This window comes from Homo sapiens, chromosome 18 (genome assembly GCF_000001405.40).
Source record: "Homo sapiens chromosome 18, GRCh38.p14 Primary Assembly".
NCBI lineage: Eukaryota > Metazoa > Chordata > Mammalia > Primates > Hominidae > Homo > Homo sapiens.
The window spans coordinates 65,131,358-65,144,971 of NC_000018.10; the positions used below are offsets into that span (position 1 = coordinate 65,131,358).

General features: G+C 35.7%; 1 long non-coding RNA gene across 1 annotated transcript; it reads left to right on the top strand.

Annotated features, from left to right (window-relative positions):
- The first annotated feature begins 562 nt into the window (after nt 1–562).
- Nucleotides 563–12,850, top strand: LOC105372168 (uncharacterized). Its single transcript, XR_935582.2, has 3 exons — nt 563–735; nt 11,514–11,623; nt 12,683–12,850. It is a non-coding gene; the product is annotated as an uncharacterized LOC105372168 (long non-coding RNA).
- The last annotated feature ends 764 nt before the right edge of the window (nt 12,851–13,614 follow it).

Consider the following 13,614-nt stretch of genomic DNA (forward strand, 5'->3'; position numbering starts at 1 on the left):
CTAGAATCACATTATCTTCAATAAAATCATAAATACATTACTAAATTTTTCTTCTGCTATGTTAGTTATCTATTTCCGTATAACAACTTAGTATTTTGTTGATTAAACTTAGCTTAAAATATAGTGGCTTAAAACAAGAAACATGTATTATCTCTTACAGTTTTTGTGAGTTAGGAATTCAGAAGCAGCTTGGCTGAGTATTTCTAGCTTCAAGACTCTCATGATATTATGCTCAGATTCTCAGCTGAGGCTGTAGTCATCTAAAGACTTGACTGGGACTGGAGGATGGACTTCCAAGGTGTCTCACTCACATCCTTGTCAGGTTAATGCTTGTTAATGGTAGGAAGCCATAGCTCAACATCAGGTCAGTATCTCCATCAGCTGCCTGAATGTCTTTATGGCATGGCAGCTGGCCTCTACCAGAACTAATGTTCCAGAATCACAATGGAAAAGTCACAATGTCTTTTATAACTCATCATCAGAAGTCACACATCATCATTTCTGAAATATCTGATTGGTTAGAAAGATCAGCTTTATTTAGTTTGTGAGAAGCTTGTAGCGTGTAGTGAATTGCAGGAGTTAAGAATTATTTTTGAGGCTGGCTACCATACCTCCTACAGAGACTACAGGGACTTAAAAATTTTAAGGATGCTCATGATCACTAGCTAACATTTTTAATCAATGCATTGATGAATTAATTATCTTCTGTTCTTGCTCAAGAGACATACTCTTTTGGTGAGTAAGTAAACTCATATGATTAATAAAACACTTCAGCATTCTCATTCCACTGTTTTACTATTTGTTGTATATAAGAGGTTAGAAAACTATGACAGAGCCTGCAGCCTATTTTTGTTTGAACTCCAAGTAAAAATGGATTTTATATTTTAAAAGTTGTTTTTTTAAAAGGAAAAATATGAAGAATGTGCATCAAATATGTAATATGGCCTATAAAACCTAAAATATTTACTATTTACCTTTTCAGAAAAAGGTTCTGACTCCTGTCCTAGATTATACCAATAGACTGTTGTTTTTCTTGCTGTTGTTTTCTTTTTCTTTTTTTTTTAGATGGACTCTCACTCTGTCACCCAGGCTGAAGTGAAATGGTGCAATCTTGGCTCACTGCAACCTCTGCCTCCCAGGTTAAAGCAATTATCCCGCCTCAGCCTCCCAAGAAGCTGGGATTACAGGCACCCACCATCATGCCCGGCTAATTTTTGTATTTTTGTAGAGATAGGGTTTCACCATGTTGGCCAGGCTAGTCTTGAACTCCTGACCCCAGGTGATCCACTTGCCTCGGCCTCCCAAAGTGCTGGGATTACAGGCATGAGCCACTACGACCAGCCTGGTTTTTCAACTTTATCTATTATAGCTTAACATGGACCTAAAATCAAGTAACTCAACCGGGTAGAGAAACAGAATTTATTTTAGTCATTCTATGTGTCCTATAGAATTCAAAACTTTAGATAAATTTTTCATAGTGATAAAACCATACCAATCTAAATATATTTTCCTTGTATAAAAACTTCAAAATCTGTATCACATGTATTTCAGTGTATAACATCTTTCAATCTATGCCACACATATTCCCCACACTTGCACCAATATTAATTTATAAACACATTTTATGTTTACGTCTTCTCCTCCAGGGTTTAACTACCTGGTTATGCTGAATTGGAGTTTAGTAAGAAGCCTAGGGTCAAAGTAAAGTAATAGGAGCTAGACACAATCAAGTTTGGTATTTTCTTCCAAAAACAAAAACAAAGAGCAAAAGTAACCTACCTTAGATGAAATCATTACAGAGTCTTGAACCCGGCTCATTGGATTTTACTGTACGGGACATTCAGTAGAATAAACAGGTTTATGCTTCTTGAAAAAAACTAACCCTCCTCAATACCCTATTCCAATTTTGAACATTATAGTCACCCATTTCTTGTCCTAATTTTATATATGAGAGCTAGGAACATTGTGAATTTGTATGTAATAATTCAAATATCTGAAGGATTTATCTTTTTACAATACCTCTGCTACATGAATGTTTTGGCTTCAATACACAGAATATTATATTTTAGTAGTCATAGTTGCTCTCTGGTTCTTTGACAATGCCTCGAGTTGTATTTCTACTTGCCTTTTTTATTTTTAAATTCTCAGGCAGAGTTAGAAAAAAAACATTTCCACCTGAAAAACATATTATTTCTGCCTTTTATTATGGGAAATACTGGCATTCATTGAAGTGTAAAAGTCTTGTTCTAAATATAAATTTTATTCCAGGTGACCACCAGTGATGATTCAATAACTGCATTAATAGAGTTATCAATATCTGCAAAAAAGATCACTTCTCGATTCTGTAATATGCACAGATTATTATCACATTAAAAAAATACTTGAAAGCCAAATTCTTATGTTTCCTTTTTTTTTTTAATTGTCTGAAAATCCTCATCAAAAATACTGCATTTGTCAGCATTATTTGGTAAGATTACAGAAGTCACCTAGTAAGAGTGGATATTACATGACCCATAAAATCACTGAATGTCCAGGGGGAAAGACTCTAGGCTGAGCTTTCAGAATTAGCATCCTGAACCACACACAGAACTGTCATGATAAAGTAGACCTTGACCTTGAAACCATGCTATTTCTACCACAACTTAAATCAACAAAGTGAATGTCCCATAAAGAATCCATTTTTTGGCCGGGCGTGGTGGCTCATGCCTGTAATCCCTGCACTTTGGGAGGCTGAGGCGGGTGGATCCCTTGAGGTCAGGAGTTGGAGACCATCCTGGCCAACATGGCAAAACCCCATCTCTACTGAAAATACAAAAATTAGCGGGGTGTGACGGTGCTCACCTGTAATCTCAGCTACTCAGGAGGCTGAGGCAGGAGAATTGCATGAACCTGAGAGGAAGAGGTTGCAGTGAGCTTAGATCATGCCACTGCACTCAAGTCTGGGTGACAGAGTGAGATTCCGCCTCAAAAAAAAAAAAAAAAAAAAAAAAGAGTCAATTTGTTTATGTAGCTTACATAGCTTACTTCTGAATCAGTCTCATGTATATGTTTTTAACCAACTGCAGTTGACCCTGGGATAAATTTTTTCATATGCAACTTTAAAAAGCAGATTTCACAATGTAATGAATTTTCAAAATGTAGAAAGCTAGTTCAAAGTTTTGTAGCAAACCAAATACCATATGACCACTTTTTGGCCACTTGCTCTCTTCATTCTCTTTCTCATTTTCTTGCTGTCTTAATATCTTGTTCTCACTCTTTATGATCTATCTTATTTTCCTAATAATATCATGTTTTATGAATTTTGATGCTATGACATTTGCCTACTGTTTATATTATCTATATGAAATGAATTCCCTATTTAGTATTTTATTTGATTGTGCTTCAGTATCAACATTGCAATCACTGTTTTCTTTCATTTATGCTTGTCTAATGTAATTTTAGCCTTCATTTTACATTTAGGCTTGATGGGTCAATTTTTTAAAAATATCTCATCAACCTGAAGTCACTTAATGTTTATTTTTTAATCCAATCTGTGAGCCATTTTAAGAAGTTATTTTCCTAAATGAAACTTTCATTTATATACGAGCTCATCAATCTAAATTCCTTCAAAATTTAATCTAATAGTTGCTACATCCATCATAGATTTTAATTCAAAGATCTTATTTTTCGTCTCTTGTTGAATCCTTTTAAATCTTCACAAAATAAGGTTGTCCTTCTTCACGGCATGTTGCTTTGTTTTCTTAGGAAGAGCAAGCATGTTTTTGAAAGTTCGTGAAGACACAAAGTCATTTTTCAACAAATGTGTTTCCCTTCTTGCAGCAAGTCTTTTGTAGAAAAACCATGTCAAAATTCAAAAGAATTGGATACTCCTTCTTTTGCACAGCAGAATTACCTCAAATGCTTCCATTTTTGACTTTATTATTTTTTCTAGTTAAGACAAAGGGATTTTAATACAATGAACTGGTCAGGTATATGGAAAAAGTGAAATATTAGCCAGTGCATAGAAAGGCCAGCCAGAAATAAGGAAGCACAGGAAGCACTGGCATCCTGGGCTATCAGGAGTGACAGCGGAGTCACCTGACCCAGAGCACAGCAGAAAATGACAGGGAAGAGATTTGGCCCTGATGAAGTTGCCCCTCACCAACAGGAGGGAAGGCGAGAAATGCTGTCATTCTCACTCTCCTTTCCTGCAGCTCCTTGTCTTTTTTCAATTTCTCTTGTTGCCCAAAACAAATGAAAGAGACATGGAAGTCTAGTAAATACAGGCTGAAAAGTTTATCTTTCCTTTTAGAAGAAACAGAGTAAACGAGAAGAAAAGAGAGACAGCAAACAGGGTCACCAAATAGGCACTATCTACCTATTTTGCTAGTCAGCAACATTCTCACTCATCTACCAATTTTAATTTACCATGCAAACGTTTATGGTCCCACCTAACCTGAGACAACTTCCTGTTTTTAAAAGTCAAATCACTTACATCTCTTTTACAAGGAGGAGAGACTCAGTCTGAATAATCATAAATTTTACTTATGGTAAATAGCAAAATACATTTTGAGTTCTAAACATCTTACAAAATCAACCATAAAAACTACACAAAATATTAAAAGTATTTGCTTGAAGACATTGGAGAATTACTAGGGCAGTACAGACTACAGGCTCCTAGATCCCAGATAAAAGAGAAGTACAAAGAACTGAACATGATAATTGTCACTGAATTTTGTAATTCTCAAAACAGTGGAGAGGCTGAGTAAGTGAGAAGAGCTTCCAGCAGTCTTATGAGGCTAGAGGGGCCAAATCTCCACCAACCATTAAATACCATGGGAAATTTCTCAATTTACCAATTGGTTCTTCCAATGAGTAATACCCTTGGAATAGCAGGAAAAACAAAAGAAAATAATTCAGTCCTTGTAAAGACTGAAGCACTACACCAAAATAGTGCAATCTCTGTTTGAATTAGGTAAACTGGCGCCAATTTAATTGCCTTCCAAAATCAGCATTTTGAAAAGTCTCTGGAGAAAAATAATAAAATCCATAGCTTCAAAGTATTTCTAAAATATTTAATCTACAATGTCCAGAATCCAATCAAAATTACCAATATGCCAGGAAAGGAGATTAAATGAGGACAAAGAAGAGAGAGAGACAGGAAGAAGAAGAAGCATACACATAGAAGATACAGATAAAAGTTAGCAGACTATGTTAATCAGGATTCTCCAGACAAATAATACCAAAAGGATATAGATAGATAGATAGATAGATAGATAGATAGATAGATAGATAGATGATAGATAGATAGATGATAGATAGATACATACATACATAGATACATAGACATATAGATACAAAGATAGATACATAGATACATCAAAGATAGATGGATATTTACTACAAGGTATTGGCTCACTCAGCTATAAAGACTGAAGTGTCCCACAGTCTTCCATCTGCAAGCTAGAGGCCCAAGAAATCTGCTCCTATAGCTCTAGTTGTAATGGAAAGGCTGAGAACTGAGGAAGCCAGTGGTATACAGTCCCAGTCCCAGTCAAAAGAACCAGGGAACCCAGTGTCTGAGGGCAGGAGAAGACTGATGTCCAGACTCAAGCAAAGAAAGCAAATTCTCTCTTCCTGTATCTTTTTGTTCTATATGGGCCACAGATTGGAGAATGCCCACCAACATTGTTGAGGGTCATCATTCCTACCTGGTGTATTGGCTCAAATGTTAATCTATTCTGGAAACATTCTCATGGTTACACCCAGAAACAATGTTTTGCAACCAATCTGAGAACACCTTAGCTCAGTAAACTAAACATCACAGAGTAAGAGTTTTTAAATTAAATATATAGATATATTTAAAAGATTAGACTAAAATCTGAAGAAATGTATAATGAAAACTATAATAAGAATTAAATGAGAATTTCAGAATTGAAGAAAGATATAATGAAGTTTAGGTGAAAGTAGGTAAGTTAGAAAATATTTTAGATACCACACAAGAAAAGATTATTGAGCTTGAAGATCAGAAAAAGTAGCACATTTGATACATAGATAAAAATGTGGACAAACAGCCTGAAAGATCTGTGGGGCTGAGTTAACAGTTTGAATACACGTGCAATTGGAGTCCCAGATTGAAACACAGAGGTGCAGTAAGAGATAAAAAGGCAAATAACAGGTAAATATCTAGCAAAATCTAAATTAATACTGTTGTTTAAAATAACATCTTCCAAAGCTTAAAATATGTATTTAGTATTATAGAATTAATACGTATGATTACAATCACAAAACAAGTAGGAGGAATAGGTGGATTAAAAATATTTTAAGATTTTATATTATCTAAAGAGGAATAAAAGTATGACTTATTAGATTTTTAGTAAGTAAAAAGTTTATGTTGAAAACCCTAATGTAACACTGAAAAAAAATAAAACTGTTTACTGACAAGCTATTAGAGGATAAGAAATAGAATAATCTGGGATGTTAAAGTCTCCCATTATTATTGTGTGGGAGTCTAAGTCTCTTTGTAGGTCTCTAAGGACATAGGCATGGGCAAGGACTTCATGACTAAAACACCAAAAGCAACGGCAACAAAAGCCAAAATTGACACATGGGATCTAATTAAACTAAAGACCTTCTGCACAGCAAAAGAAACTACCATCAGAGTGAACAGGCAACCTACAGAATGGGAGAAAATTTTCGCAACCTACTCATCTGACAAAGGGCTAATATCCAGAATCTACAATGAATTCCAACAAATTTACAAGAAAAAAACAAACAACCCCATCAAAAAGTGGGCGAAGGACATGAACAGACACTTCTCAAAAGAAAACATTTATGCAGCCAAAAAACACATGAAAAAATGCTCATCATCACTGGCCATCAGAGAAATGCAAATCAAAACCACAGTGAGATACCATCTCATACCAGTTGGAATGGCGATCATTAAAAAGTCAGGAAACAACAGGTGCTGGAGAGGATGTGGAGAAATAGGAACACTTTTACGCTGTTGGTGGGACTGTAAACTAGTTCAACCATTGTGGAAGTCAGTGTGGCGATTCCTCAGGGATCTAGAACTAGAAATACCATTTGACCCAGCAATCCCATTACTGGGTATATACCCAAAGGATTATAAATCATGCTGCTATAAAGACACATGCACACGTATGTTTATTGCAGCACTATTCACAATAGCAAAGACTTGGAACCAACCCAAATGTCCAACAATGATAGACTGGATTAAGAAAATGTGACACATATACACCATGGAATACTTTGCAGCCATAAAAAATGATGAGTTCATGTCCTTTATAAGGACATGGATGAAGCTGGAAACCATCATTCTCAGTAAACTATCGCAAGGACAAAAAAACCAAACACTGCATGTTCTCACTCATAAGCGGGAATTGAACAATGAGAACACATGGACACAGAAAGGGGAACATCACACACCGGGGCCTGTTGTGGGGTGGGGGTAGGGGGAAGGGATAGCATTAGGAGATATACCTAATGTTAAATGACGAGTTAATGGGTGCAGCACACCAGCATGGCACATGTATACATATGTAACTAACCTGCACGTTGTGCACATGTACCCTAAAACTTAAAGTATAATAAAAGAAAAAAAGAAACCAAGAAACATATTAACTCCTGCAATGGAAATGCATAAAACATAAACTTAATAAGCACCAAGCTCCAATATATTTTTGTGCCTGAATTATCCAATTGAGATATTTACATATATTAAAGTTACTGTCAGTTCTCCATTTAAAAAAAAAAGAAATAGAATAATCTAAAAAAATTCCAAAGAAAGTTAAAAATGGTTACAAGAAGGAATGAGGCAGAAGTGAACAAAAAGAAAACAGAGTAAGATAATATATTTAAACCCAAATAGTTCAGTAATTATATTAACCATAATTAGACTAAATCTTACTGTTAAAAAGCAAAGGTTGTCAGATTGAAAAATAAAAAGACTATCTAAAAGTAGATACAAATCCTTAAATATAAAGATACAGAAAAGTTGTCAGTAAAATAATGTAAAAAGACATACTATGGAAACAATAATATTTTTAAAAGTTTTATAATAAGTAGTTAATTAGGCAAAACTATGCAAAATTTACTTAGTTTTGGAGTAAGTAGATTTCAAAGAAAAAATTATTACTAGAAATAAAGACAGATTACAATGATAAAAAGTAAGATTTGAAAGATTTGCAACAAGATTTACAGACTTACCCTAAAAGACCTGTAGAGAAAAATCGCACTCAAAAATTGCAAACTACACGTTTTCCTCAAATACACATTTAATATTTACAAGTTTAGATAATATGCTGGATCATAAAAACATATCAAGAAAATGAAAAGGATTAAAATTATGCTTAAAATATTCCCTGACCCCCACTGGCATTAGGCTACAAATCAATAAGAAAAATATAACTGGAAAACTCTCATATGTTTGTAAATTAATTAATATACTTCCAAATAATCCATGAATTAAGACACAAATATATATGGAAATCAGAAAATAAATCTTGAACTGATTGAAAAGTAAAACATAATTGTGTAACTTCCATTGTGTCTTTTCAGAAGTTTGATACAAGATCCACATTAACTCATGAACATTTTGAGCTTCATCAAATCTGGTGTGTCTAAGGCTTAACATACAATATGGCTTTTGATAACATCCTAGACTTGATGCAGAACCTTTTCTTCTCTTTAGATTCCACTCAAAACTAGGAGAAGCCTCAAAGTTTATTTGGTAAAATAATATGGTGACGATGCACAAGTTTTATGGTATAGGTTGCCTCTACAATTAAGAAGCACATAAGTGTTCTATGTTTTGTCAGCATTGGTACAAAATAAGACAACTTTTCCCTTTTTTGTGGTGATATACTGTTATTCCCCCAGACCATCTTCTCCCCAAAATATTTACTAAAATGGAAGGTCCCTGAATTTTGCAATATTATTCTTCCTTTGTCAAATATACATCTAACCAGCACATCTGTGGTGCTTTCCCTGACCTGCTCACCAGGGAAAATCTGAATACTGTTAGGTTGAGCAAATTATGATTGGTGGGATGCCTACAGGACAAAAGTCCTAGAGACCTAATTTTAATACTAAGAGAAGAGTTGCCCTAACCCTGAGAGAAGATAGTGAAATTGTATTTACTAACTCTCCCACGTGAAGGCAAACTGCTTAGATCATCCTTGGTGACTGGCATGGGGAAAAATATGTTTCCAGGCCAGTAGGGGTATTTCAAGGCAAGACATGTGTTTATTTCCTCTAACAAACACACCATATCTGTTGCAGCAGCTGCAGTTGGAGTCACTAATTATATTTTCAATGATCCATATCATTTTCAACATGTACATGATTTTTTATGACAACCAAACAGGTGAATTAAAAGTGTGTGTAATAGGAATGAAATCTATTTTCAAATCTTGATGACAGATTTAACAATCATGATTCTCTAAGAAGTGTGACATTTTTTAAATAAAATGATAAAGACATTTATTTCCATGGGGTTTCACTTGGTCTTTCCTATTTTTCTGGACTTCACACCATAGGTGAGAGAGCTATTCTGTGCAGAGAGTCTGCTGGTTGCTGACTAGGAATACTCCAACTGGTTTTATTTTGAATGACTTTGCAGCAAATCTGCATTTATTACTTGAGCTCTTTAATTCTTTACTTGGATGCTTGAGTAAAAGCAGAATTGCAGGTTGCTAGAAATCACATAAAATCAAAGTCAGCATAACATTTTTAAATTTTTGAGTGCTACTTTTCTCCCATTGCCTGCTTGTCGGAAGACAAGTTTGGGAGGAAAACTGAAGAAGGATTTCAATATATTCTAATTGCAATGTCCTTCCTCAAGGAACTCAGGCTGAATTTTAATCAAGGGACTTCATTGGAGTGACCAATGGTCTAATCTGCCTAGGACTGGAAGGTTTCACAAGATATGGGATTATCAGTGCTAAAGCCAAGACTTAAGACAGTTAGAAACCCAGTCTATGAATTGACTTTGGTGTTTGGGAACTGGGAGAAAAATTGTTACTCCTCTTGTGGTGACAAAAGTGGGGTTTCTGTTCACCAAACACCAAACAAACCTTTTCATATTATATTGGTTAATACATGAGTAGGCTGATTTATGAATACATCAGTAGGCTGCACATCTATGACTTTGAGTTCTTTTAACGACCACCACAAAACCTTGGGTGCCAAAGCATTCTGATGACCACTCCAATACGATTGCCTATTATGGTAATTGAAGTTAGACTGTCTCACACACTTAAACCCCAGTTTCCCACTCTTCAGAATTCCATTATTAAAAAGGACCTCAATTTTATGATAACTCAGTTCCATTATTATCCTGAGCACGGAGATGACAGCCACCACAGAGCTTTTAAAATACTGGTATTCTCACCATACATTTTTCAATTCCTTTGTAAAGGTACTGTCTTCTGGGCACTCCGGAGATACACTGATGAGGGAAAATGAGAGAATTGCACTTACCAGATCTACTGCAGTATTACTTTCCCTCTGGAATCCAAATGTCTTCCCCTACATTATACAGAGAAAGGGCTGGCATTTTTTACCTCATGAATACAAGCTTTGAATCTAGACTTCAACAGCCAAATTAGCAAACAGATCAAATTTCAACTTCTCTAGCACTTAAATTCAGAATGAAGTTTAGTTAAACATTATAGTAAATTCGACTTCATCCAAAATTAAATTTTGTTCTTTTTGGATGACTCTGTGAATCTAGTACAATTATTGTTTTCCAGATATGTACAGATAAAAATAAATTATATTTTGGCATATATACTATATCCTCCTAGAATTAATTCTCTATTGGGGGCATATTGGGAAATAAGTATTGTTATCACCTTGAAGGCAGTTGGAGATTGTGGAGAAGGTTTGAAAAGACTAGGAATGCACAAACTGAATCAGGTGGCATAATTAAATAATATCTGTCTGAGGGAAGTCTACCTTTCTAACAATGAAGTTGGAGTTTGTGCCAATATTATGAAAAATGGGTGAACTCTGGTGGTCAGACAACTCTGGTTGTCTGCTCAAGTGCACACAAATGTCAAATCTCAGAGTTGTGGTACTTCTTTGCTCGTACCCTAAACAAAGGCATTAATGTAATGCTTAACTGATACTGCTGTACAGTCAACTTGTACTTTATGCTTCTGAAGATTTAAATTTTTGTTCTGATCCTTAGCCACATCTGCCCTGAAGCTATGGAACATAATAAACTCTTTTAAAGTTATATACCCTAAACCTGCTTTTAACTGAAAGTTTATAGACGTAAGTGAACCTCTTTTTTGTCAGCCCTTCTTTACCTTCAGAAGTGGGCAGCATGCCCCTTTTTTCTTGTAATTATCCTTATTTCCACAAGAGTTGAATATAACAACAGCTTGATTTTCCAAACCCTTGACTTTGACCAGCCCTTCATTTCAAGTATCTATAGATAATTATTTAGGTTAAATTGATGTCATTGCATGACACAGATTACAATTCTCCCATTTTCCAACTTCAAGGTCTTCATGATTGTGTTCTTATGCAAATAGGCGATGAGCTCACTCCTGGAACCACATCATGAGAGGTATTTTTCTTCAACCACTGCTGAGATAAAGTTCTACACATAAGAGTAAGTGTCGGCTGGGCGCGGTGGCTCACGCCTGTAATCCCAGCACTTTGGGAGGCTGGGACGGGTGGATCACAAGATCAGGAAATCGAGACCATCCTGGCTAATACGGTGAAACCTCGTCTCTACTAAAAATACAAAAAATTAGCCGGGCATGGTGGCAGGTGCCTGTAGTCTCAGCTACTTGGGAGGCTGAGGCAGGAGAATGGCGTGAGCCCGGGAGGCGGAGCTTGCAGTGAGCGGAGATCGCCGCCACTGCACTCCAGCCTGGGCGACAGAGCGAGACTCCGTCTCAAAAAAAAAAAAAAAAAAAGAGTAAGCATCATACCAGCATACATACACCTCTCTGAATACTTGAGATCAAAGTAAATTAATACAGGAAACAGGTAACAGATGATAAAAGAGGCTAAGAAGATGATTGGAGATTAGTGAGAAATACATAGATTAGTAACAGCAGGTTGTCACCACTATACATAGCTTGGAAAAAAATAATAACACAAAGCAAAGAGGCAATGGCATTGGAACCTAAGAGCCTGGTCAAGGGGTCACCAGGAAGAAGCTGAAAGCAGGAAGCCTATTAGTGGGTGTTTGAGGCAAGAAAAGTACGTGTCCATTGTTGGACACACCACCCAAGACAAGGGAGAAAGAAAAGTATCTTGGCTTCTTCCTTCCTTCTTTCATCTAATCTCTCTTTGATACCTGTTGTTATCCAAATGCTTACAAAAGACAGTTGACAAAAAAGCAGAACAGCCCTTCTGGCCTACAGAACCCTGTATGGGAAAGATGAGGAACAACTATGAGGACAAAATGTTTAGGGTTGGCTCAGTGGGACAGGTAGTAGTGGAAGGAAGGCAGGAATGGGAAAAAATAAAGGAGGAATGTACCCAGAGTGATAGTGGTGTTGGGGGATGGGTGCTGATGAAGGTAATGGGGGCAGTTTGATAGTAGCATAAAGCCATGGTGAATATCATATTTCTCAGATTTGTAATTCACCCCCTCCTCCACCCAATAAATAGCATCCCCCAAGAAAGTATACCACCACAGAGTTCTCTCTCTTTTTAGACCACTCCTGGAAAAGACACATCTCTGGGCTGACCAAAGATCATAATCCATCTCTGTGCAACATGGAAGACAAGACACCTCTAAGAAAAAACATGGTACATTTAATTGCTTTTGATAAATCTCTAGTGTTAAAACTTCATAGAGAAGGAAGAAGCAGAAGTGAAAATATCCAAATGACGTCCAAAATACTTCAAACTCCCAACCAACTCAGGATGTGGGTGTTTCAGGACAAAGATCCACGTTCAGGAAACTTTACTCTTTCAGGAGAAAACTGGCATGTCTGCTGGAATTGTATACGCCAGCTGCCAGTGATTCCTCTGAAGGAAAGAGAGAGATAATCCATACATTCTACTTGTAGTATCAGTAGAGTTTGGGAGAGGAGAGGTTGAGGTAAGTGCCTAAGCCAAAATTTTGCAAGTGCTTTAATGCTTTGTTTTTGAAGTAAATGTAGGTTCTCATTTTTAAGGTGAATAATTTATTAATGACATGTCCTAAATTGTTTCTATATAGTTCATGCCTCATACTCAAAATAACATATGAGATGTCATCTGTTACTTCTGAAAAGTATGATTTTAATGAAGGCAAAATAGAAAGACAAAGTTATACATCTTATGATTGAAACTGAAAAAAACTCAACAGGTACATGTAAAAAATAATGTCTGAGTAGAATTACACCAAAAAATAACTTTGGAAATCACTGGAGAGTTAGAATATGTGATCATTTTCTCTTCCGATAATTCTTTTAATTTTGTGCCTATTTATAATAAGCATATTATAGTGTTACACGTAGGTTTTATTCTTTAAATAAGTGAAATTTAAGTCACTGACTTTCAATTATTACTATATTTCCAGATAACATTTCCTCACTGCTGCTCTTTAATAATTTTGTAATAGTTTATCCCTTTTTAATATACTAAATAAGATGTCAAGAT